At 52.3% G+C, this 23186-nt stretch overlaps 2 protein-coding genes across 13 annotated transcripts in view, besides 8 other annotated features; one reads left to right on the forward strand and one right to left on the reverse strand.

The window, feature by feature from the left end:
- CIZ1 (CDKN1A interacting zinc finger protein 1) overlaps positions 1–21023 on the reverse strand; it is a 38158-nt gene extending 17135 nt beyond the window's left edge. For 2 of the 7 annotated variants that reach the window (NM_001131015.2, NM_012127.3), the window contains exons 1-5: positions 20987–21023; positions 7489–7663; positions 7130–7245; positions 4664–4735; positions 2348–2577 (exon numbers count right to left, since the gene is read on the reverse strand). In NM_001131015.2, coding sequence (NP_001124487.1) covers positions 2348–2577; positions 4664–4735; positions 7130–7245; positions 7489–7658 — 588 coding nt within the window. In that variant the 5' untranslated portion in view covers positions 7659–7663; positions 20987–21023. Of the gene's footprint in view, positions 1–2347; positions 2578–4663; positions 4736–7129; positions 7246–7488; positions 7664–8232; positions 8374–8655; positions 8906–20986 lie in introns of those variants that run through there. The other 5 variants (NM_001131017.2, NM_001131016.2, NM_001257975.2 and 2 more) reach the window with 4 other exon arrangements.
- Positions 8129–8568: a silencer, noted in NCBI's record as "silent region_20330". NCBI's record gives its function as "represses an Ori minimal core promoter by ATAC-STARR-seq in GM12878 lymphoblastoid cells {active_cell/tissue: GM12878}" and the evidence as "EXISTENCE:reporter gene assay evidence [ECO:0000049][PMID:35858748]".
- Positions 8356–8523: a silencer, noted in NCBI's record as "fragment chr9:130953834-130954001 (GRCh37/hg19 assembly coordinates)". NCBI's record gives its function as "represses an EF-1alpha promoter that drives an FKBP-Casp9 reporter gene in an ReSE screen in K562 erythroleukemia cells {active_cell/tissue: K562}" and the evidence as "EXISTENCE:reporter gene assay evidence [ECO:0000049][PMID:32094911]".
- Positions 9411–9926: an enhancer, noted in NCBI's record as "H3K27ac-H3K4me1 hESC enhancer chr9:130954889-130955404 (GRCh37/hg19 assembly coordinates)". NCBI's record gives its function as "activates a minimal SCP1, AML or CMV promoter by ChIP-STARR-seq in naive H9 embryonic stem cells {active_cell/tissue: H9 hESC(naive)}" and the evidence as "EXISTENCE:reporter gene assay evidence [ECO:0000049][PMID:30033119]".
- Positions 9927–10441: an enhancer, noted in NCBI's record as "H3K27ac-H3K4me1 hESC enhancer chr9:130955405-130955919 (GRCh37/hg19 assembly coordinates)". NCBI's record gives its function as "activates a minimal SCP1, AML or CMV promoter by ChIP-STARR-seq in naive H9 embryonic stem cells {active_cell/tissue: H9 hESC(naive)}" and the evidence as "EXISTENCE:reporter gene assay evidence [ECO:0000049][PMID:30033119]".
- Positions 19863–19962: an enhancer, noted in NCBI's record as "active region_29074". NCBI's record gives its function as "activates an Ori minimal core promoter by ATAC-STARR-seq in GM12878 lymphoblastoid cells {active_cell/tissue: GM12878}" and the evidence as "EXISTENCE:reporter gene assay evidence [ECO:0000049][PMID:35858748]".
- Positions 20023–20242: a silencer, noted in NCBI's record as "silent region_20331". NCBI's record gives its function as "represses an Ori minimal core promoter by ATAC-STARR-seq in GM12878 lymphoblastoid cells {active_cell/tissue: GM12878}" and the evidence as "EXISTENCE:reporter gene assay evidence [ECO:0000049][PMID:35858748]".
- The window catches only part of DNM1 (dynamin 1), a 51866-nt gene continuing 48859 nt past the window's right edge, over positions 20180–23186 (forward strand). For all 6 annotated transcript variants that reach the window (NM_001005336.3, NM_001374269.1, NM_004408.4 and 3 more), the window contains exon 1: positions 20180–20432. In NM_001005336.3, the coding sequence (NP_001005336.1) occupies positions 20272–20432 (161 nt within the window). In that variant the 5' untranslated portion in view covers positions 20180–20271. The remainder of the gene's footprint in view (positions 20433–23186) is intronic.
- Positions 20811–21105: a silencer, noted in NCBI's record as "tiled region #9989; HepG2 Repressive DNase matched - State 4:PromP". NCBI's record gives its function as "represses a minimal TATA promoter and a strong SV40 promoter by Sharpr-MPRA in HepG2 cells {active_cell/tissue: HepG2}" and the evidence as "EXISTENCE:reporter gene assay evidence [ECO:0000049][PMID:27701403]".
- Positions 21394–21966: an enhancer, noted in NCBI's record as "H3K4me1 hESC enhancer chr9:130966872-130967444 (GRCh37/hg19 assembly coordinates)". NCBI's record gives its function as "activates a minimal SCP1, AML or CMV promoter by ChIP-STARR-seq in primed H9 embryonic stem cells {active_cell/tissue: H9 hESC(primed)}" and the evidence as "EXISTENCE:reporter gene assay evidence [ECO:0000049][PMID:30033119]".

Genomic DNA, 23186 nt, shown 5'->3' on the forward strand with positions numbered 1-23186 from the left:
ACATCCATACTCTGCCCTTCAGAAACTACCTAGCTGTCACCCTGCACGAAACAGGCACCAGCCTGAGAGTCAGGAGGCCTGGGCTCTGGGTCCACCTAGACAGCTGTGGGGCGCAGGACCAACCGCACCCCAATCTCTAAGCCTGGGTTTTTCCATACGTAAAAAAATGAGGGCAGGGCGGGTTAGACACTAGACCAGATCTGTGATGACAGGCCCGTTGGAAGGCTGGAGGCGGGGCCCCTCGCTGAAGGAAAATGCCTTACCTCCAGAAGTGGCCCGCCCTGGAGTGGCCAGCAAAGGGGGCATTGCCCCTGCGCTGGAATACACCCAGAAGCAGGGTGTGAGCAGGAGCTGCGGAGACCTTCAGGGACAGGACAGTCTAGGGAGGGGGTGAGCCCTTTGCAGATCTCCTGCTTATGCCAGGAGAAAGGTAAACACCTCTCAAACACACAAGGAGCCAGGGGGCTGTGGGCTGGAACCTATAGCCGGCAACAGCGTATAGCTTAGGATTTTATAGCATTGTTCTACCCTAGTTATGTTTCCTATACTTTTGTTTGTTTGTTTGTTTGTTTGTTTGTTTGTTTGAAATGGAGTCTCACTCTGTCGCCCAGGCTGGAGTGCAATGGCACGATCTTGGCTCACTGCAGCCTCTGTCTTCCAGGTTCAAGTGATTCTCCTACTTCAGCCTTCCTGAGTAGCTGGAATTACAGGCACCCGCCACTAGGGCCCAGCTAATTTTTGTATTTTTAGTAGAGACGGGGTTTCACCATGTTGGCCAGGCTGGTCTTGGACTCCTGACCTCAAATGATCTGCCCTCCTCAGCCTCCCAAAGTGTTGGGATTACAGGCGTGAGCCACTGCACCCAGCAATTTCTTATACTTCTATGAATGGCAATTAACTTAGATAGTTTTTAGAATGTCAGGTTATGATATGATGTTTCCTTTCCAAATAAATGTAACAGAAAGGAAGCTCACTCATTCAAAGCCATGCTCTCCCACACAGTCACCCCACAGCCTCAGGAGAGCACCTGAAACTGGCGGGGCTGAATTGAGAGGTCAGTATCAGATACACACCAGATTGTGAAGATTTTGTAGTTTTTAAAAAAGGAATGTAAAATGCCTCATTTTTTATATTGATGACAGGTCGAAATGATAATAGTTTCATATGGGATTGGGTTAAATAAGTTAGTAATATTAATTTAGCCCATTTCTTTTTACTTTATAATGTGGTTACCAGAAAATTTTAAATTACATATATGGCTTGTATTTTATTTCTACTGGGCAGTGCTGATTTTTTTTTTTTTTTTTTTTTGAGACAGGGTCTCACTTTGTCACCCAGGCTGGAGTGCAGTAGTGTGATCATAATTCACTGCAGCCTCTAACTCCTGGCCTCAAGCAATCCTCCCACCTCAGCCTCCCAAGTCCCTGGGATTACAGGCATGCACTATCATGCCCTGATAATTTTATTTTTATTTATTTATTTTTTGAGACAGAGTTTTGCTCTTGTTCCCCAGGCTGGAGTGCAATGGCGCAATCTTGGCTCACTGCAAGCTCTGCCTCCTGGGTTCAAGCGATTCTCCTGCCTCAGCCTCCTGAGTAGCCAGGATTACAGGCATGCACCACCATGCCCGGCTACTTTTTTGTATTTTTAGTAGAGAAGGGGGTTTTGCCATATTGGCCAGGCTGGTTTCGAACCTCTGACCTCAGGTGATCCACCCACCATGGCCTCCTAAAGTACTGGGATTACAGGTGTGAGCCCCCACGCTTGGCCACACCAATAATTTAAAAAGAAATATTAAGCTGGGCGCAGTGGCTCACGCCTGTAATCCCAGCACTTTGGGAGGCTGAGGCGGGCGGATCACCTGAGGTCAGGAGTTTGAGACCAGCCTGACCAACATGGAGAAACCCCGTCTTTACTAAAAATACAAAATTAGCTGGGCGTGGTGGCGCATGCCTGTAATCCCAGCTACTCTGGAGGCTGAGGCAGGAGAATCGCTTGAACCTGGGAGACGGAGGTTGCAGTGAGCTGAGATCGCGCCATTGTACTTCAGCCTGGGCAATAAGAGCGAAACTTCATCTCAAAAAACAAACAAAAAAGAAACATTAAGTAAATGATAGTACTGGTAGTGTTTGGGCATGGCAAAAATCCCTTCGTTGATAAAAGAATATTTGAAGTTTGGGAAACGCTAAACAAGTCCATTCCCGCCCCCCTCATTTTACAGATGAGGAAACTGAGGCATAAAGGGAGTGTGACCTGTCCGAAGGCCCAGACTGAGCCAGAGCAGGTGGCACTGGGGCTGACACCCAGGGTCCCCTCCCGCCCACTCCCATCCCCACCTACCACTCACCTTTCGATTGGGGGTGGTAGAGGAGGAGGTCCGGGCCTGTTTCTGGGGGTTCCGTCCTGAAAGGTTGAACTGGGAAGGGTTCATGGGGACCCCAACAGGAGGAGGTCCCAGCAAGGACTGGCGAGTGGCCTGGGGAAAGAACTGTTGCAAATTTGGAGTGGCCAGTTGTGGGGGTGTGAGGCTGGGGGCTGCGAGGCCTGGGGATGCCATGCCATAGCCTCGGAGGTTACCTGCAGGCAAGAAGACAGGAGAAGAGGGGTCACAATGTGGTCGGGTGGCAGAAGGTAGGGTCAGGCATCAGTGCCCCAGAGCATCATGGGAACATCCCAGATAATTGAAAGGGACCTTCCCACCCAAGGGCAGCCAAAGGGAAGAGATGAGAGCTGAGGCTCAGCCCCATCTTGGGCACTGATGGTGAAGGAAGCTTTAGGGCTCTTTTCTGCCCCAGCTAGGGGTGGGGGTGTTGCCTTTAGCATTCCCCAAAACTCTGCTCACCCTCAGGCATGCTTTAGAGTCTGCCATAGAGTAGGTGAGAGACTTAGCACAGCCCATAGGGAGAACCAGCAGGAGGGCTGGTCCCTGGGATAACAAGACACCCACCCCCACCCCTACCAGCTACCCTTTATCAGCAGCAACTATGAGTCAGGCACTGTGCTAAGCCCATTCCTCACACTGCCTCAGTCCCTCGGCCCAGCAGGTTTCAGGGTGGGTGTTATCTCTACCGATGACAAAACGGAGACAGAGTGGAGGTGCAGCTTGCCCAGGGTCGCTACGAGGGACACTGCCATCCACCTACCGCCCCAGCCAGGATTCTGGGGTATTCCTCATTCCTCCCTCTCTTTGCCCTATTCCATGCAAGCCATCCCCACATACTATCAACTCTGTCTCCTATGCCTCTTCCCAATCTGACTTTCCCGCTCCATCCCCACTCCCACTCCCTGCCTCCTCCCAAAACCACTTGATCCTTTGCCTGAATTCCAGCCACAGCTTTTGCACAAGATGGCAGCAAACAGCGATCTTTCGCAAACCATATTCTGAGTTCATCTCTCCCTTCTGCCCAAACACTTCCATAGCTCCCTGCTGTTGGGTAGCAAAGGCCATTCCTCACTGCATGGTCTGGCCCTTCCCACCTTTCCAGCCTCCTTTCTTGCCATTCTCCCCACATGTCCCCACTATATTCCAGTCACATGTCCCTGTGCCGTCCTTCAGACATCCTGCCTCAGGGCCTTTGAATATGCTGTTCCCTCTGCCTGGGCTGTTCTACCCACTGACACCCTTCAGACCTCCCTATAGGTATCTCTCCTCCAAGAGACCTTTGCAGACTGTGTCCCCAAAGGCCCCAGCTTCCAATTATTCTAGGACGAGCTACATACTTCATACTTTCCTTGTCTGCTTTTTTTTTTTTTTTTTTGAGAGGGAGTCTTGCTCTGTTGCCCAGTCTGGAGTGCAGTGGTGCGATCTTGGCTCACTGCAACCTCTGCCTCCTGGGTTCAAGTGATTCTCCTGCCTCAGCCTCCCGACTAGCTGGGACTACAGACGCCCGCCACCACACCTGGCTAATTTTTGTATTTTTAGTAGAGACAGGGTTTCACCATGTTGGCCAGGCTGGTCTCAAACTCCTGACCTCAGGGTGATCCGCCCACCTTGGCCTACCAAAGTGCTGGGATTACAGGCGTGAGCCACCACATCCAGCTCCTTATCTGCTTTCTGCTTCACATCATCTAACTCAGCTCTGCACCTCAGGGGAAGCCCAGAGCTTGGGAAGTATTTAAGGGATGAAAGGCAGTTGGAACTCTTGCCCCAGTGCTGGGATGGGAAGCACAGGGGTTAAAGGTTAAAGCATGGCGTGCTGTGAGCGCTGGGTTCAAATCCAGACTCTACAGTGCAAGCTCTGTGACCTTGAACAAATCACTTCCCCCTGCTTAGCCTGATTTCCTGATCTGTAAAAAGGGGATAATAATAGCACTTGCCTCACAATGTTTCATGAGTATTCAATGAGATATACAAATGTGCCTGGTACATAGTAAATGTTCAATTAACATTAACTTGAAACAAATACATATACACATATGTGCAGAGAGCCAACCAGCTCTTAAAAACAATAAGACAAAAGATGAAACAACCTAAAAGAAAAATGAACAAAGGACATGGACAAGTCACAAAAAGAAATAAAATGTTCAACAGACAAATATAAAATGTTCAATTGCACTAGCACTCTAAGAAATGTAAAACATTCATGACATAGCTTCTTTTTGCCAACCAACTTAATTATATGTATATATACATTTATATATATATATAAAAAGCATATAATACCCAGTGTTGCTGTGGGCATGGTGAGACCGGCAGTGTCATACGTGGCTGGTGGCATTGCAAACTGGTCCAGTCCTTTAGGAAAGCAATTCGGCAATACTTATCAAGAGCCATAAAACATCCATCCCCCCTGACTCAGTGAGAAAACAATCTCAAACAACATATTCATCCCAGGGTTACTTAAAACAGCAAAAAAAAAAAAAAAACCCAAAACAAAACAAAACAAAAAATTAAAAAAAGCAAAAGAAAGAAAAAAGCAAAAAAAAAAAAAGGAAAGAGCCAAACAGCTAAGAAGGTTTAGATAAACAAAGGCATAGCCCTCTGGTGCAATATTAAACAGCTATTAAAAATAATCTTAACACAGATGATCAAATCCTATGGTAAACGATCATGCCATTCTATTCAGTGACAAAGAAACAGGGTACAGCCTGGGACTTATATCAATCACAATCATCAGATACAAATCCCCAAGTCTGTGCCTAGAAAAAAAATGGGATGAAAGAGACAAAAATGCTGACTGGTGGTTTTCTTCAGGTGGTGAGTGAGTCAACAGATGACACTGTGGGTTTTCCTATCCCCATTTTTAACCTTTTTTTCCACTTTAAAGAGTGTGACTTTTATTCTTTTGTTTGTTTTTGAGAAAGGGTCTTGCTAAGTTGCCCAGGCTGATCTTGAACTCCTGGCCTCAAGCAAATCTCCTGTCTTGGCCTCCCAAAGAGTTGGGATTACAGGCATGAGCCACTGCACCTGGCCAAGAGTGTGAGTTATTTTCCTTTTTTTTTTTCTTTTTTTGAGAAAGGGTCTCGCTCTGTCACCTAGGCTGGAATGCAGTGATACAATTTTGGCTCACAGCAACCCCCGCCTCCTGGGTTCAGCAATTCTCATGCCTCAGCCTCCTGAGTAGCTGGGATTACAGGCGCACGCCACCACGCCCAGCCAATTTTTTTTTTCTTTTTTTGAGACAGGGTCTCGCTCTGTTGCTGGGCTGGAGTACGGTGGCGCGATCTCAGCTCACTGCGACCTCCACCTCCCAGGTTCAAGTGATTCTCCTGCCTCAGCCTCCTGGGTAGCTGGGACTACAGGTGCACACCATCACACCTAGCTAATTTTTGTATTTTTAGTAGAGACGGGGTTTCACCATGTTGGCCAGGATGGTCTCGATCTCCTGACCTCGTGATCCGCCCACCTCGGTCGGCCTCCCAATGTGCTGAGATTACAGGTGTGAGCCACCACACCCAGCCTAATTTTTGTATTTTTAATAGAGACAGAGTTTCACCATGTTGCCCAAGCTGTTCTCGAACTCCTGGACTCATGTGATCCTCCTGCCTTGGCCTCCCAAAGTGCTGGGATTACAGGCGTGAGCCACAACCCATGGCTGAAGGGTGTAATGTTTTAAATGGGAAAGAAAAAAAGGAAGATGTATATGTATATGTGGCAGGTCCCTGTGTATGGTTCTCTCTCTCTACCTACCTGCTTATCATTTTTAAGTCAGTTCCCAGGACCACATCCATGTGGCCCTGACAGGTCCACAGAGTGACAACCATCTAATCAATACCGACTTGTTATGTAATCTTGGGCACATGACCCCTCTCTGGGCCTCAGTTTCTTCATTTGTAAAATGGGATCATGGTTGTACCTCTCCTTAGGGGGTTATCAGTAGAATCAGGAGCAGCATCTTGGCTGGGCGCAGTGGCTCACGCCTGTAATCCCAGCAATTTGGGAGGCCAAGGCGGGTGGATCACCTGAGGTCAGGAGTTCAAGACCAGCCTGGCCAACATGGGGAAACCCCGTCTCTACTAAAAATACAAAAATTAGCTGGGCATGGTGGCGGGCACCTGTAATCCCAGCTACTCGGGAAGCTAAGGCAGGAGAATTGCTTGGACCCGGGAACCGGAGGTTGCAGTGAGCCAAGATTGCACCATTGCACTCCACTCCAGCCTGGGCGACAGAGCAAAACTCTGTCTCAAAAAAAAAAAAAAAAAAAAAAAAAAAAAAAAAGGAGCAGCATCTTGGAAGGAAGAGCTGAGACTGCTCTCCATATTGGGAAATTGAGACAAGGCCACAGACTTAATGCACAGGGCTAGAGACAACCACTCAGACATCTGGATGGTCAAGAGGCCCAGGCATCGGCCCAGCTTAGCCACTGCTGATGCAGGGCAAATGATTTCCCTTCTTAGCTTCTTCACCTGTCAGATGGCATCTAATCTGAATGTGAGTGAAGTGTGCTGAGTATTGCCCAAAGAGCCAGCACCATGGCCAAGGACACACCTCTGCAATCAGACAGATCTGCATTCAAATTAGCAGCTTAGGGACTTTCACCTCCTGGAGCCTTAGTGTCCTCATGAGTGAACTAGGATGCCAAGAATAGCTCCCTCTCAGGGTGGCTGTGTGGAGTTGAGATTTAGAGCAATGCGCTGCTAGGGAGCTACCACTAAAAGAGACTGAGAAGAGGCCTGGGGCCATCCATACCTTGCAACTGCTGTAAAAGCAAAGCTCTCTGCAGCATGGAGCCGTTGAGGAGGGAGGCTGAGTTGGTGCCCTGGAGATTCAGAAGCGGCTGCTGTGGCTGCTGCGGGGGGAGCCCCCTGTGTGTTGGGAGGGGGTGTCAGAGGGTTATTTGGAAAGTCAGACCTTCCTTCTTCCCCAAGGCTTCTCACCTCCATTCTCTGCCCCACTCTGTGGTAGACAGAGGACCCCTTGGGGCTGGAATTGGTGATCTCCAGGACTCAAACGGGGATGGCACTGGGAAAAAGGATGGGGATCGGGAGCTCCGAGACATGGGTCTGAGTAGCAAGGCTGAAGCCATCGCGCCCGAGAGGGGAACTCACCGGCTGACAGCCATGGGCAACGGGGCCTGTGGTGGGGACTGCTGGAGCAGCTGCTGGAGCTGCAGTAACTGCTGCTGCTGCAATTGCTGCTGCTGGAGCTGCTGCTGCTGTAACTGCTGGAGCTGCTGCTGCTGTTGCTGGAGCTGCTGCTGCTGCTGCTGGCTGAACATGGTGGCTAGGGGCAGAAAGCAGAGTGAGGCAAGGGGTCCCCACCATAAGTCAGGCCTGCTCCCCTCCCATCCACCGCCACTCCCCGCAGCCACAGCCCGCAGAGACTGCTGAGGAGCTTCACAGCTGCATTCCCAGTCCTGCCAAGAGCCTGCCACACTCGCTTGGCCCATCCTTCCAAGTTACCTCCAGTCCTGCTAGGGGCAAGATTCAACCACCCTCCTGCCAATGCCCCCCAGACACTGCCAACAGCCCCTCCTTCAAGTCCCTCCATCTCTCCATTTCTGGCGGCTCCATCCTCCCACCCTCAGCCTCAGCCTCTCTCTGCGCCCATCACTTCCTCACTCACAGCCCCTTTTCAATACCGCAACCCTCTCTGGGCCCCCGGGTGTCAATAACATCGGCACCCGTCCAACCCGGTCACCGTGGTCCTGAGCTCCGTGGGACGGCTTCTCTCCACCACCGCCACCTCCTCGCGCCCCACTCCGCCCGCTCCCACCCCGCCAGCCGCCTCCTCCGCAGACACAGCCAGCTCGCAGGCGGAGCCCCACGACCCAGCCGCCCCCGGCCCCGCACCTCGCCTCCCCGCGCGCCCTCAACGCTCAAGTCGCCCCCACGGATGGGCCGGCCCCGCAGCCCCCACGCCTCGGCCGGGCGGCTCCGGCCCGCGGGCTCCCGGCCTCCCCGCTGCTACTCCGGGGCCTGTGGGCTCGTAAGGCCCAAATGCGGGCGGGGCCGGCCGGGGCAGCGCCCTCTGGGGGACGGGAGGTCCAGGCGCCTCCGGCCGCGCCACCCGAGCCCGCCCAGTGCACAAGTCACGCTGGGGGGCGGCTGCGGGGCGCTAGCAGGTGCGAGGGGGTCCTGGGCGGCTCATACCCTCTGTCCCGCGTCCTCCGCATCGCGAAGGGGAGGCTCGGAGACCAAGGTCCGTCTGCCGCCCGGAAGGGTCAGCCATCCCGCGGGGCATCGAGGGGGACTTCCTTCCTGTTCCCAACCCACCTCCCTGCGGCCGCCGCGGTCCTGCGATCCTGGGGCCCCGCGCGGGGCTGCGGTGAGAGGGGGCGCGCAGTTGGCGGATGTACATTCATTCGAGGGACCCAGGCCAGGCGAGAGGGCGGCCAAGGTCTTACAGTCCGTCAGGAGTTTGCCCACGGAGGGGTGGAGGGAGAGTCCCCCTCCAAGTCTTTTCTCAGTAGATTTGGCTAAGGAAGGAGTAGGTGAGGAGGGTCGAGGCCAATTATCAAAAAATAGCCCTAGGGGCCGGGCGCTTCCGCCTGTAATCTCAGTACTCTGGGAGGCCGAGGCTGGAGGATCAAGACCAGCCTGGGCAAAATGGCGAAATCCCTCTCTACAAAAAATACAAACATTAGCCAGGGTGGTGGCGGGCGTCTGTAGTCCCAGCTACTCGGGAGGCTAAGGCAAGAGGATCACTTGAGCCCGGGAGGCACAGGCTGCAGTGAGCTGAGATCGCGCCACTGCACTCCAGCCTGAGCGACAGAGCAAGAGCTGTCAAAAAAAAAAAAGTAAAAATTTTAAAAAGAAAAGGAGAGGAAAACAGAGCCCTGCTCCCTTATCCTGCACCTAAAATGGTCCTGCCCCCAAGAACCCCCTTAACAACCGCTGTATCCCCCCATCCCCGCGCCGTAACAATCCTTGGCTACTAAGTAGTAATTCTTTTATTTATTTTTTATTTATTTATATTTTTGAGACGGAGTCTCACTCTGTCGCCCAGGCTGAAGTGCAGTGGCACGATCTGGGCTCACCGCAACCTCCGCCTCCTGGGTTCAAGTGGTCCTCCCGCCTCAGCTTCCAGAATACCTGGGACTACAGGCGCGGGCCACCACGCCCGGCTAATTTTTGTATTTTTAATAGAGACGGGGCTTCACCATGTTGGTCAGGCTAGTCTCGAACTCCTGACCTCAAGTGATTCGCCTGCCTTGGCCTCCCAAAGTGCTGGGATTACAGGGGTGAGCCACCTCTCCTGGACTAAGTAGCAATTCCGGCTCCCTTTTCTGTGGCTCCCTGCCTTGTGCGTGTCACAGCCTGGGCGACTCCTCGCCCTGCCTTCCGCGCCGACGTTGGGCGGGCAGGGCGCGCGGGGGCACTGGCGGCGCGCAGACCCGGGCAGGCGGAGCGCGTTGACGGAGGGCGCTCGGGCAGCAGAATTCGCGCGTCCATAAATCACTGCAGTCATGTGACGAGCGCCGCTCCAAAGCTCTGGACTGGCTCTGCGGCAGATGGGCGGCGGCTGAGGAGCCTAACTCAACCTGGACTAGTCGTGGAAGAGCTAGGACTTAGAGGCGCGAAAGTGACTCAGCGAGGCCGGAGCGCAGGGTGGCGTCCAGGGCCCCGGGGACGTCGGCGCCTATGGGTGAACAGGCAGCCTGGAGGGTGGGGACTTCGAATGCTGGGCTGAGAAGTAGGCTTTATCCTCTAAGGGTAGGGAGCACTGGAGAAGGGTGTGAACCTCATGAGTGACAGCATCAAATCTGCCAATTAGAAAACCCGCTCCCGTGAAAACCAAGACAGAAGCAGTGAGGAGAGAGGGGCGAGTCAAGACTGCCCAGGCTCTACTGGGCACAGCGGCTCACCCCTGTAATCCCAGCACTTTGTGGGGGGTCCAGGCAAGTGGATCACTTAAGGTCAGGAGTTCGACACCAGCCTGGCCAACATGGTAAAACTACGTGTCTACTAAAAATACAAAAAAAATTAGCCGGATGTGGTGGCGGGCGCCTGTAATCTCAGCTACTCGGGAGGCTGAGGCAGAAGAATCGCTTGAACCCGGGAGGCAGAGGTTGCAGCCGAGATCACATCACTGCATTCCAGCCTGGGCGACAGAGTGAGACTCCATTTTAAAAAATAAAAATCAAAGACTGCCCAGGCTGCCAAGCAAGCATGTTAACACCTTGATCTGGGTGCTAGCGTTGGAGAGGTCCAGGATTGAATCGTGACTCCCCTGCCTTGTGGCTAGGTGACACTGGCTGGGGGAGAGGCCTCTTAGCTGGTTTCCTCCTTGGTGAAATGTGTGCCCCCTCCCGGGGTGGTAAGGATGACATTACATAATGCTTAGCACTGGCACCTGGCACAGAAGGAGCTTAGCAAATTGCCAAAGTGAAAAAACTAAAAATAATGCTTGTGCTGGTGAAGGTGGAAAGCCAGCACTAACTTCCTGTGTTGGTTCATCTTTCTGGGAAGCAATTTGCAAATTTTATATCAAGAATCTTGGGCCGATGCAGTGGCTCATGTCTGTAATCCCAGCACTTTGGGAGGCTGAAGCAGGCGGATCACCTGAGGTCAAGAGTTCAAGACCAGCCTGGCCAACATGGTGAAACCTCATCTCTACTAAAAATACAAAAATTAGCCGGGCATGGTGGCAGACGCCTGTCATCCCAGCTACTCGGGAGGATGAGGCAGGAGAATTGCTTGAACCTGGGAGCCGGAGGTTGCAGTGAGCCAAGATCGTACCATTGCACTCCAGCCTGGGTGACAAGAGCAAAACTCCATCTCAAAAAAAAAAAAAAAAAAAAGAATCTTGCACATGTTTTGCCCTTTGACCCAATAACACCATTTGTAGGAGTCTAGCCTAAGAAAATAATCAGAAATGAGACTTTTACAAGATAGCAGGTTGTTCATGGAAATATTTATATATTTTTTCTTTTTTCTTTTTAAGGACAGCCTCAGCTGGGCATGGTGGCTCACGCCTACAATCCCAGCACTTTGGGAGGCTGAGGTGGGTGGATCGCCTGAGGTCAGGAGTTCGAGACCAGCCTGGCCAACATAGTGAAACCCCGTCTCTACTAAAAATACAAAAAATTAGCTGGGCCTGGTGGTGGGCACCTGTAATCCCAGCTACTCAGGAGACTGAGGCAGGAGAATCGCTTGAACCTGGTAGGCAGAGGTTGCAGTGAGCCAAGATCCCATCGTTGCACTCCAGCCTGGGCAACAAGAGCAAAACTGTCTCAAAACAAAACAAAAAAAAAGAGACAGGGTCTTGCTCTGTCTCCCAGTCTGGAGCGCAGTGGCACGATCATAGCTCACTGCAGCCTTTCCCTCCCTGGCTCAATGGAGCCTCCTACCTCAGCCTCCTGAGCAGCTAGGACTACAAGTCCATGCCACCACGCCCAGCAAATTTTTGTATTTTTTTTTTTAAAGACAGGGGTCTCACTATGTTGCCCGGGCTGGTCTTGAACTCATAGGTTCAAGTGATTCTCCTACCATGGTCTCCTGAAGTGCTGAGATTACAGGTGTGAGCCACCACATTCAGCCAAAACATTATTTATAATAGCTGTCTGGAAAATAATCAACTTTAGGGGAATAGCTAAATAAGTCATGGTGTCACCTTTTAAGGAACAGTGCCCAGCCATCAGAAATTATGTTTTCAAAGGATAAACACCCACAATATGATGTGAAGTGAGCTCACTGGCTTATAAAATGCATGCACATTACCATCCCAGGTGTTTTTGTTTTGTTTTGTTTTTTTGAGACAGAATTTTGTTCTGTCATCCACGCTGGAGTGCAGTGGTGTGATCTCAGCTCACTGCAGTCTCTGCCTCCTGGATTTAAGTGATTCTCGTGCCTCAGCATCCTGAGTAGCTGAGACTACAAGCATGCGCCACCACACCCGGCTAATTTTTGTATTTTCAGTAGAGATGGGGTTCCACCATGTTGACTAGGCTGGTCTCAAACTCCTGATCTCAAGTGATCTACCCACCTTGGCCTCCCAAAGTGCTGGGATTACAAGCGTGAGCCTCCATGCCAGGCCTTCCAGACCTATTCTGCTCCAGGACTTTATCTATCTATCCCTTCTCATGGACTCTATCTATCCCTTCTCATGATGATGTCACATACTTTGATTATTATAGCTTTAGAATATGTTTACCCCCTCATAGTGCAAGCCCCTGACATTGTTATTCTTTAAAAAATTTTTGCTAATTCCCAATTATATATTTTTTTCAGATACTTCATAGAATTTTGTCAAACCTTCCCCAGCCTCTGAAATCCCATCAGAATTTTTGTTTGTTTGTTTTTGAGGCAGAGTCTCGCTCTGTCGCCCAAGCTGGAGTGCAGTGGTGCAATCTTGGTTCACTGCACCCGCTGCCTCCTGGGTTTGAGTGATTCTTGTGTCTCAGCCTCCCAAGTAGCTGGGATTACAGGCATGCACCACCACACCCAGCTAATTTTTTGTATTTTTAGTAGAGATGGGGTTTTACCATGTTGTCCAGGCTGGTCTCGAACTCCTGACTTCAGATGATCCACCCACCTTGGCCTCCTAAATTGCTGGGATTACAGGCATGAGCCACTAAACCTGGACCTCATTAGAATTTTGATTGGTGTTGCACTAAATATGTTTAAATTAGAGAAAAACTGACGTCTTTACCCCCCGTTTTTCAGTTTAAGAAGGAGGTAAATGGGCCAGGTGTTGTGACTCACACCTATAATCCCAATAGTTTGAGAGGCCAAGGTGGGAGGATTCCTTGAGCCCAGAAATTCAAGACCAGGCTGGACAATATAGGGAGATCACCGTCTCTACAAATAACTAAAAATTAGCTGGGCATGGTGGTGTGTGCCTGTAGTCTCAGCTACTTGGGAGGTTGAGGTGAGAGGATCACTTGGGCCAGAGAGGTCAAGTCTACAGTGAGCCACGATCGTGCCACTGCACTTCAGCCTTGGCAACAGAGTGAGACCCTGTCTCAAAAAAAAAAAAAGAAAGAAAGAAAGAGAAAAGAAAAGAATGAGGTGAATGTCTCTATTATTTATTTATTTATTTGAGACAGAGTCTCGCTCTGTCTTCAGGCTGGAGTGCAGTGGCACGATCTCTGCTCAATGCAACCTCCACCTCCCGGGTTCAAGCAATTCTCCTGCCTCAGCCTCCTGAGTGGCTGGGACTACAGGCACCCGCCACCACGCCCGGCTAATTTTTGTATTTTTAGTAGAGACAAGGTTTCACCATGTTGGCCAGAATGGTCTCGACCTCTTGACCTTGTGATACCCCCGCCTCAGCCTCTCAAAGTGCTGAGATTACAGGCATGAGCCACTGCACCTGGCCGCGAATGTCTCTATTTATTCAAGCCTTGCAGTAAGTTAGTTTCACAGGCCTCTTCACCTAGTACTTGCACAGTTTCTATGGTAGCTATTATTGCTATTTTCCCAGTACTCTTTCTAACTGGCAATTGACTATAGCTTCTTTATCTTGTAACCTGCCACCTCCCCACCTTGCACTATTTCTGTCCTCAGCAATGTCGTGTGCCCTTGATGGTAGAAAGTACCTGCCAAGTTGTCCTCATGTCCTTGGGACCCAGCTCAGAACCCTGCACATCGCAGGTTTGTGTGGTGAAGGCTGATTAAATTAGTGAATGATGAATGAATGAATGGATTGCTTCAGGATGCAATTTCTTCCCTCTGTCCTCAGGTTAGCGTTCATCATAGCAGCCCTTCGCGCCTTTTATATCTGTGTCCATCACCCTACAGAGGCAAGTTCCAGTGAGGCACCCAGCATAGGCCATAAGGTGGGCACCCCCAGCAGATGCCCCAGCTCAGAATCCCTGGGAATAGGCTGTATTCAACAACAGCTCCAAGTCAGACAAGAGGCAGAGAAATACATAAGACCATATGCTTATCACCTGGCCTCCCCAGTGGCTGTCGCTCACCTGTGCCTTTTCCTAAAAATAAATGGAGTGTGAAAGGCAGAGGACAGAGGCAGGGAATAGCCGAATGGGCACGACCTTGTTGCTGCCCCTACCTTCCGGGGGACCCAGGGTAGGTCCTGACTTAGGGCTCTAGTTTGGCCAACTGTGCCAGACAGGACAGACTTGTGGATAACAGATTCTCTCTCCTCCCTTACCGCATCCAGTCACACCCTCTGCTACCTTCGCAACACCGGAGAAGTTTCTTTGGACAGTGCAATGGTGATGATGGTTATAATGACACTATTTGTAGCTCTCATGATTCACAGTTCCAGGCACTGTTGGATGCTTTACCTAAATTATTATTACATCACTGAACCGTCACACAATCCTATGAGTTAGGGGTTATTATAATCCCCCTTTTACAGATGAAGAAACTGAAGCTTTGGGAGGTAAAATGATTTGCCCAAGGTCATCAGGTTAGAAAGTGACAGAAGTGGGATTTGAATACCAGGCGGTCTGGCTTCAGACCTAACCATGGCACAATCAGCACACATGGGCACCTGCCCTGTTCCAGGCTGATGGGGAGCCCTTCAACAGGAGATAAGGTGGTGCAGGCACAGACGCCTGGACTGCCAGAGCCCCAAAGCCCATAGGAAATATTGGTGCCCAGCCTGCAACCATGTAGAGAAGGCCCAGCCTGACCCAGCTGTTTCCTCAGCGGCGACTCTGCCCCAGGCTGTGCCAGGTGCCCTTGTCCCATGTTCCTGGTCCCCTTAGCCCCTCCCCTGTGACTTCCATTCCAGCAGGATGATCCCTGCGTCTTATTAACCTCTTCATCCTCCTCTGTCTTGCTGAGATCTGGCACATAGTAGCCACTGATCCATACCTGTGGGAAAAATGAATGAATGAATGACTCCAAAGAGCCAGACCCTGCGCAGACTTAGTGACTAAATATAATGACTTGACCCCGGAGCTGTGTAATAAGGCCACTGCTCAATTCAACTGGCATTTATTGAGCACCTACTGTGTATGTATACAACACAAATACTGTCAAAAAGGGCTCGTGTTTTGGCCAGGCACGGTGGCTCATGCCTGTAATCCCAGCACTTTGGGAGGCCGAGGCGGGCAGATCACGAGGTCAGGAGATCGACACCATCCTGACCAGCATGATGAAACCCCGTCTCTACTAAAATACAAAAAATTAGTCAGGTGTGGTGGTGAGTGCCTGTCGTTCCAGCTACTTGGGAGGCTGAGGCAGGGGAATCGCTTGAACCCAGGAGGCGGAGGTTGCAGTGAGCTGAGATCGTGCCACTGCACTCCAGCCTGGCGACAGAGCGAGACTCCATCTCAAAAAAACAAAAGGGTTTTATTTTTTGTGCACTAAAAATATGTATTCACCACACAGCATCTCTGGGAGAAAACCATCGATTACCAGAGCTGGCATAGTGTAGGATGTAAATATGGAAGCTCTGAGTCACACTGACAACCGTCTACATCTTGACTCCATCATTTCTTGGCTATGTGACCTCAGACATGTTCTTTACTAACCTCTCTGTGCCTCAGTTTTCTCATCTGTCAAAGGAGGCTAATAAAACTTCTTTCTCGGCTGGGCACGGTGGCTCACGCCTGTAATCCCAGCACTTTGGGAGGCCGAGGTGAGTGGATCACCTGAGGTCAGGAGTTCAAGACCAGCCTGGCCAACATGGTGAAACCCTGTCTGTACTAAAAATACAAAAATTAGCTGGGCATAATGGTGGGCACCTGTAATCCCAGCTACTCAGGAGGCTGAAGCAGGAGAATTGCTTGAGCCCAGGAGGCAGAGGTTGCAGTAAGCAGAGATCATGCCACTGCACTCCAGCTTGGAGCTGGAACAAGACTCTGTCTCAAAAAAAAAAAATTCTGCCCAGCACAGTTGGTGGTCAAAACTTTGGGAGCTCAGCCATGTATGGTGGCTCACACCTATAGTGCCAGCACTTTGGGAGGCCAAAACAGTAGGATCACTTGAAACCAGGAGTTCAAAACCAACCTGGGCAACAAAGCAAGATCCCGTCTGTACAAAAAAAAATTGTTTTAATTAACTGGGCATGGTGGTGTGCACTTGTAGTTTCAGCTATTTGGGTGGCTGAGGCAGGAAGCCTACTTGAGCCCAGGAGTTTGAGGCTACAGGGAGCTGCGATTGTGCTACTGCACTCCAGTCTGGGCAGCTGAGCAAGGTTTATCTTATCTCTAAAAACAAACAAAAAAACAAAAACAAAAAAGCTTTGGGAGCTCAAGAGAGAGTAAAGAAGCCATTTCTTTCTTTCTTTTTTTTTTTTTTTTTGAGATGGAGTCTTGCTCTGTCACCCAGGCTGGAGTGCATGGTGTGATCTCGGCTCGATGCAACCACCACCCCTGCCTCCCAGGTTCAAGCAATTCTCCCACCTCAGCCTCTCGAGTACCTGGGATTACAGGTGCGGGCTACCATGCCCAGCTAATTTTTGTATATTTAGTAGAGATGGTGTTTCGCCATGTTGGACAGGCTGGTCTCCAACTCCTGGCCTCAAGTGATCCACCCGCCTTGGCCTCCTAAAGTGCTGGGATTACAGGTGTGGGCCACTGCACCTGGCCCTGAGATTCTTCTTTTCAACCAACTCCATGTGATGCCAGGCTGCTGGCCTGGCATCAGTGATACAGCAGTATAGGATACTTAGTATAATCCCATTTCTGTAAAAACAAAATGGAACAAAATGAATATGTGCATATATGAAAAACAAAGCCAGAGAACGATCCCTAAGCTATAGTGGTTATCTCTAGGTGGGAGGATGACCAGAGGTTTTCAAATACTTGTGTAAAGTCTGGTTTTACAATAAGTTTCAATATTGTAATTAGGGGGGAAAAAGTAAAAATAATAAAAGCTGGCTGGGCATGGTGGCTCACAGCTATAATCCCAGCATTTTGGGAGGCTGAGGCGGACAGATCATGAGGTCAGGAGTTTGAGACCAGCCTGGCCAAGATGATGAAACCCCGTCTCTACTAAAAATACAAAAATTAGCTGGGCACAGTGGCGAGCACCTGTAATCCCAGCTACTCAGGAGGCTGAGGCAGGAGAATTCCTTGAACCAGGGAGGGAGAGGTTGCAGTGAGCTGAGATCACACCACTGCACTCTAACCTGAGCGACAGAGCAAGACTCTGTCTCAAAAAAAAAAAAAGAAAGAAATACAAAAAATTAGCTGGGCGTGGTGGTGCATGCCTGTAGTCCCAGCTACTTTGGAGGCTGAGGCAGGAGAATCACCTGAACTTGGGAGGCGGAGGTTGCAGTGAGCTGAGATCACGACACTGCACTCCAGCCTGGGAGACAGAGCGAGACTACGTCTCAAATAAATAAATAAATAGGCTGGGCACAGTGGCTCATTCCCGTAATCCCAACACTTTGGGAGGCTGAGGCAGGAGGATCACAAGGTCAAGAGATCGAGACCATCCCGGCCGACATGGTGAAACCCTATCTCTACTAAAAATACAAAAATTGGCCGGGCGCAGTGGTTCACACCTGTAATCCCAGCACTTTGGGAGGCAGAGGCAGGCAGATCACAAGGTCAGGAGATGGAAACCATCCTGGCTAACACGGTGAAACCCTATCTCTACTAAAAATACAAAACATTAGCCGGGCGTGGTGGCACGAGCCTGTAGTCCCAGCTACTTGGGAGGCTGAGGCAGGAGAATTGCTTGAACCCAGGAGGTGGAGGTTGCAGTGAGCCAAGATCGCACCACTGCACTCTAGCCTGGGTAACAGAGCGAGATTCCGTCTCAAAAAACAAACAAACAAACAAAAAATACAAAAATTAGCTAGGAGTGGTGGCACGTGCCTGTAGTCCCAGCTACTCGGGAGGCTGAGGCAGGAGAATCGCTTGAACCCAGGAGGCAGAGGTTGCAGTGAGCTGAGATCATGCCACTGCACTCCAGCCTGGCGACAGAGTGAGACTCCGTCTCAAAAATAAATAAAATAAATAAGTAAATAAATAATATTAAAAGCCCAGCCATGATGCCCTCTAGGCAAACATCTATAAACTGCACCCCCTCCTGGTGCCAGTCATCCAGGCTTCCATCTCTGCCTTCTCTTGTCCTCAGAGCATAATAACAGGTTGGCATGGAACAGCTGCCAGGTTCCATGCAAGTTGTGTGGCACTGATGCTCCAGCTGTCTGGTGAGCTGTTATCATTGGCATCCTCACAGCTGCAGCTTAATAAGGGCCCCCTGAGCACTAGGCCTGGGCTGTGCCCTACACAGGCATTTGATCTATTATTATCCCCATTATCCAGATTAGTTAACTGAGGTTCAGAGACGTGGAGGGACCTGGGTCACGCAGCTTGTTTAAGGCCCAGATTAGACTCCTAATCCACTCTCTGGTGCTACCAGGGAGAGGGCCTGCTTGTTCCCCATGCCTGCCTCGAAGATTCCTCCCCACAAGGGTCACTCTCTGATCACCATCTTCACAATAGCAACACCACCCTACCCCGCCCCTGCTTTCTTGCTCTGCAGGGCACGCCATCTAACAGGGCCATCGTTATTGCCCTATTTGCATATTGTCTGTCTTTTTCCACTGAATTGTCAGCCACATGTGGGTAAGGACTTTGTCCGTTTTGCTCACTGCTTTATCTCTGGAGTCTAGCATAGTACCTGGCTCAACAAATACGCATTAAATGGATGAGTAAGTGAACAGTCTCCAATTCACAGACCACTTTGTCAGCAGTGCCCCCACACTGTTCACAGCGCAGGGAAATGACTCACCGACTCCCCATGAGCACAGTGTAGGCTAGCCTTCCCTTCCTAGCCTCCACCGTGAATACTAATTAGGTTTCTTAAATGCAGAGATGGACGGCTGGGCTCAGGGCCCCATGGTCTGTCTGTGTGAAAGGGTACGCAGGGTAGGATTGTAGGAGCCCTGGATTTGAATCCCACTGTTTTACGCTGTTTTACCACCATCCTGATGGGTTGGAGCAAAGACTTCCACTCTCTAGGACAAGAGCTTCCAACTCTCCCAAGAAGGGCCCTCCAGGTGTCAGGGCCTCTGCACTTGCTGGTCATTCAGCCTGGCATGCTCTTCCCCTGATCTGCTTGCTGCTGGCTCCTTCTCATCATTTTGGTCTCTTCTCAAATGTCACTTCTGCAGAGAACACCCCCGACTCCTGCCAAGCCAATGTGAACTTTCCACACCCACAAAGATACCTTTTTTCACCCTGTTTATTTCCTCCATCCCTCTTACTATGAATTATTTTCATTTTTACTATTTCATTTATCTGCTTACTTATTTACTGTCTGTCTCCCCAGCTTGATGCAAGATCTATGAGGGCAGAGGCCTTGGCTGTCTTATTCGTTGCTGAATCTTCAGTGCCTAGGACAGGGCCTGGCTTCTAGCAGGTACCTAGTAAATATTTGTTGAATTCATGTTCCAACTTTCTCCTTCTAGAAACAAGGAAACTGAGGACCAAAGGCAGAAGAGGACATGTTGGAGATCAGAGTCAGGATCTAGGGATAGAAGCCAGCGAGATGAAGGGGAACTCATCTCGGAGTTCTGACCTCTGAGGTCAGGAGGCTGTGACCTCAGAGGAAGCCCATCTGCTCTCCAGGCCTGTTTCCTCATCGGTAAGATGGAGTGAAACATCCAGACCACTCTCCAAGAGGCCTGGTACTAGGAGTGAGACCCAACCCATTGACAAATATATTCTGCGCAGCATCCGCGCACCCCAGACACTGCTAAAGCACCCCAAAAGCCGCAGAAGGTGAAAACTACGACACCCATGATGCCCCGGACGGCGCCTGCGCACGGCGGCCGGCCCGCAGCGCCGCGGGCTCCCCCTAGCGGCGTCCGGGAGCGGTGCTCGCTCCGATCCCCGAGGGGCGGGGGCCCCGCGGCGCAGGCAGTCTGGGCGCGCGGCTGCAGCGGCGGAGCCGGAGTCGGAGCCGGGAGCGCTAGCGGCAGCCGGATCGCAGCCTGCGGGGCCCGCCGCAGCCATGGGCAACCGCGGCATGGAAGATCTCATCCCGCTGGTCAACCGGCTGCAAGACGCCTTCTCTGCCATCGGCCAGAACGCGGACCTCGACCTGCCGCAGATCGCTGTGGTGGGCGGCCAGAGCGCCGGCAAGAGCTCGGTGCTCGAGAATTTCGTAGGCAGGTAGGCGCGGCGCGCCCCCAGGCGCCGACCCCCGACCCCCGGGATCCCTGGAGTCCCCGCCCGGGGCACTGACGGCGCGGCGACCTCGCAGCCCCCGACGCTGCACCCGCGGCCGGCGCGCCCCCCACCCCCAGCCGGAGCGAGGAGGCCCTCCCCCCACCACGAGAGCCCCTCGGGGCAGCAGCGCCCCCCGCTAGTCTGCAAACGTCGTCAAGCCTCCGGCTACCGAATCACGCCCCCTCCTCCGTCCCATCCTTTAGGGCAGACAACGCTCTGCCAGAAGCCCCGGGCAAAGAGCTGCCCCCCGCCCCCAACATGGGCATGGAGAGAGCCCGCATTACTCAGCGTCTCCGTTGGGCTCCGGGAGTCCCTTGGAGCGGGCAGCACCCGGGGGCAGCGTCCCCCACACCGGGCTCAATGGGGGACATCCCCCTACCCCCATGGGAATTCCTGGGCCGTGGCAGAGGTCAGCCCCCGCATCCCAGTCCCTAGAAGAGGACGTAGTCCCGCGGGCATCGAGGACCGGGCACGGCCTCCCGCCAGCACACACACACCTCTGCGGCTCCCGCCGCCATCCGTGCGCAGCGCGGCGAGGGGGGAGGCGCGGGCTGCAGGATGAGGAAGGGAAGAGGGGAGGAGAAACCACTTCTTATCCTTTTCTGAGCAGCCGGCCCCTTGCTTCGCCACGGCCCCTGGGTGGGGGGCGCCTGTCAGTGTCGCCCTCCCCTTGGCCTGGCCAGAGGAATCGTGTTGGAGGGAGAGGCGGCAGAGGGCAGAGATGACTAAGACAGGGATGGCGGGAGGGGGGAGCCATTTGCAGAACCTAATCCCCCTCCCGCCTCTGATCCCACAAGGCGCTGAGAGGCCTAGGTGGCGGAGAGAGGAACAACCGCAAAGACAAAGGGTCGTGGGTTTAGCGGGGCAGGCAGGGTCGTGACCCGCAGGCTCCCCACAAACCCCCAAAGGGAGGCAGAAATAGTTTTTCTGGTGCTGAGGAGAGAGAAGAAAGATAGGAGCTCTCCAGGTACTGGAGGTGGGTTGGGGGGCTGGGCAGACTGGGGGATGAAGTGAGAGAGTTTACACTGACCCCGTCTTTCATCTCCCCCCCATCTTCTTCAGAAACTCTTGCTTTCTTCCAATGACCTTCAGGGCCAAAAAAGTGACTGGCACATGGGAGAGGGAGGCAGGGGCCCTTGTCCGCAGAGGTACAGCAGTTCTGTCCAAGCCAGGTTCTGCTGCAAAACCTCAGGCAAGTCACTTGCCCTCTCTGAGCCTCAGTGTCCCCATCTCTAACATGGACAGTGGGACTGGGTGGTTGTTCCTGCCCCTCAAATGTCCTGGGAAACCCATGCCAGCCCTAGAGGTGAGAGGGAGAGGGCCTGACTGGAGCCATGTGTGTGTGGGACGTTGGAAGGCCACCGTGGGGGCGGCCGTGCCCATCTGGTCAGCAGAGGGGAAGGCATCTGTCTCTCCAATGGCTCCTGCAGAGCCCCCCTTCTGATCACATGACCCCCGGAGCTGCAGAGACACAGGCAAGAGACACACCACGGGCCCCTTCCCCAAGGGCCAGCAGTCAGGGATATCCAGCAGTTTAGAATGGAGAAACCATATTCCTACCTCTCGTCCTTTGAATGTTGGCTGAACTCCTGCCCCATGCCAGGCTGCGTGCTTCAGGCTTGGGGTAGGGAGGGGACCAACTGGTGATTTCAGCCCGCATCTACTGAGCCCATCCCATGCATCCCCCTATGCTGAGTCCTTCATAGGCTCACAGGAGCTCCCAAGAGGCAGGTACCATGATGCCCATCCTACAGATGAGGAAACTGAGACCCTGGAGGTTAGATGCCTTGCCCAAGGTCACACATTCAGAAAGGGCAGCAGCTGTTAGACTCCAAAGCCCAATTCCTAATCTCGACGCTGCACATCCTCTGACAGCCGGGTCCTGCACCAGGCACAGGGACGTGTGGGTGGGTGGGCCTCCATTTCCCCATCTGCGGAATGGAAACGCTGACAGCCGCTGCCCTGCCTTCCTGAGAAGGTGACTGTGGGCTCCACCGAGTTCATGGGTGGAAAGGTGCTTTTGTAAACATGCGGGAGGGGGCGCTGATAGCCAATTAGGCTTGGGGACCTGCATGCCCAGCCCCTGCCTTCCTGGAGCCCATGACGCAGGGGCCATCCCTGACCACAGCAGATTTCATCGAGTACTTGCTTGTTGAGTGGTGGAGCAAGGTTTGGACCGTGCCCCAGGAGGCCTGGGCCCTCTGGCTGCCCTCTCCACCCCAATGCCCTTGGCCGTTGTCCCCACAGGAGGATGTGCAGGGTGTCCAGATGCAGGCCCAGGGCAGGGGAGGGGGCTTAGGTTGATGTGAAGGAGTAGGCAGAAAAGCATTCATGATCCTCTGAAAGCTAGTGAGAAGGCCAGGGAAACTGAGGCTCAGTGGGTTCCACTGTCTCAGCCTGCCAGCTCCCTCAAGGGCTCCTGACCTCTCCAACAGGGCTCAGTCCCCAGACTGGTGAGCATAGTAACAGCCATTCTGTCTCCTGGGGCTTCCCAGGAGCCAATCCCCAACAGAAAATGCTTCACAGGAAAATGCATCAGGGCTGCCCCAGGCCCACCCGGGCTTCTGGGTGCTCAGGAGGATCCTGCTGTCAACTCTGCAATGGAGGTAGCCTTGCAGCTGCCTGGGATGCTGCTAGAACTTGTCTGGGTCTATACTATTTCTTCACCCCCTTCCCTTTTACAGAAGGGAAAACTGA

Source organism: Homo sapiens, chromosome 9 (genome assembly GCF_000001405.40).
Source record: "Homo sapiens chromosome 9, GRCh38.p14 Primary Assembly".
NCBI classification, from domain to species: domain Eukaryota; kingdom Metazoa; phylum Chordata; class Mammalia; order Primates; family Hominidae; genus Homo; species Homo sapiens.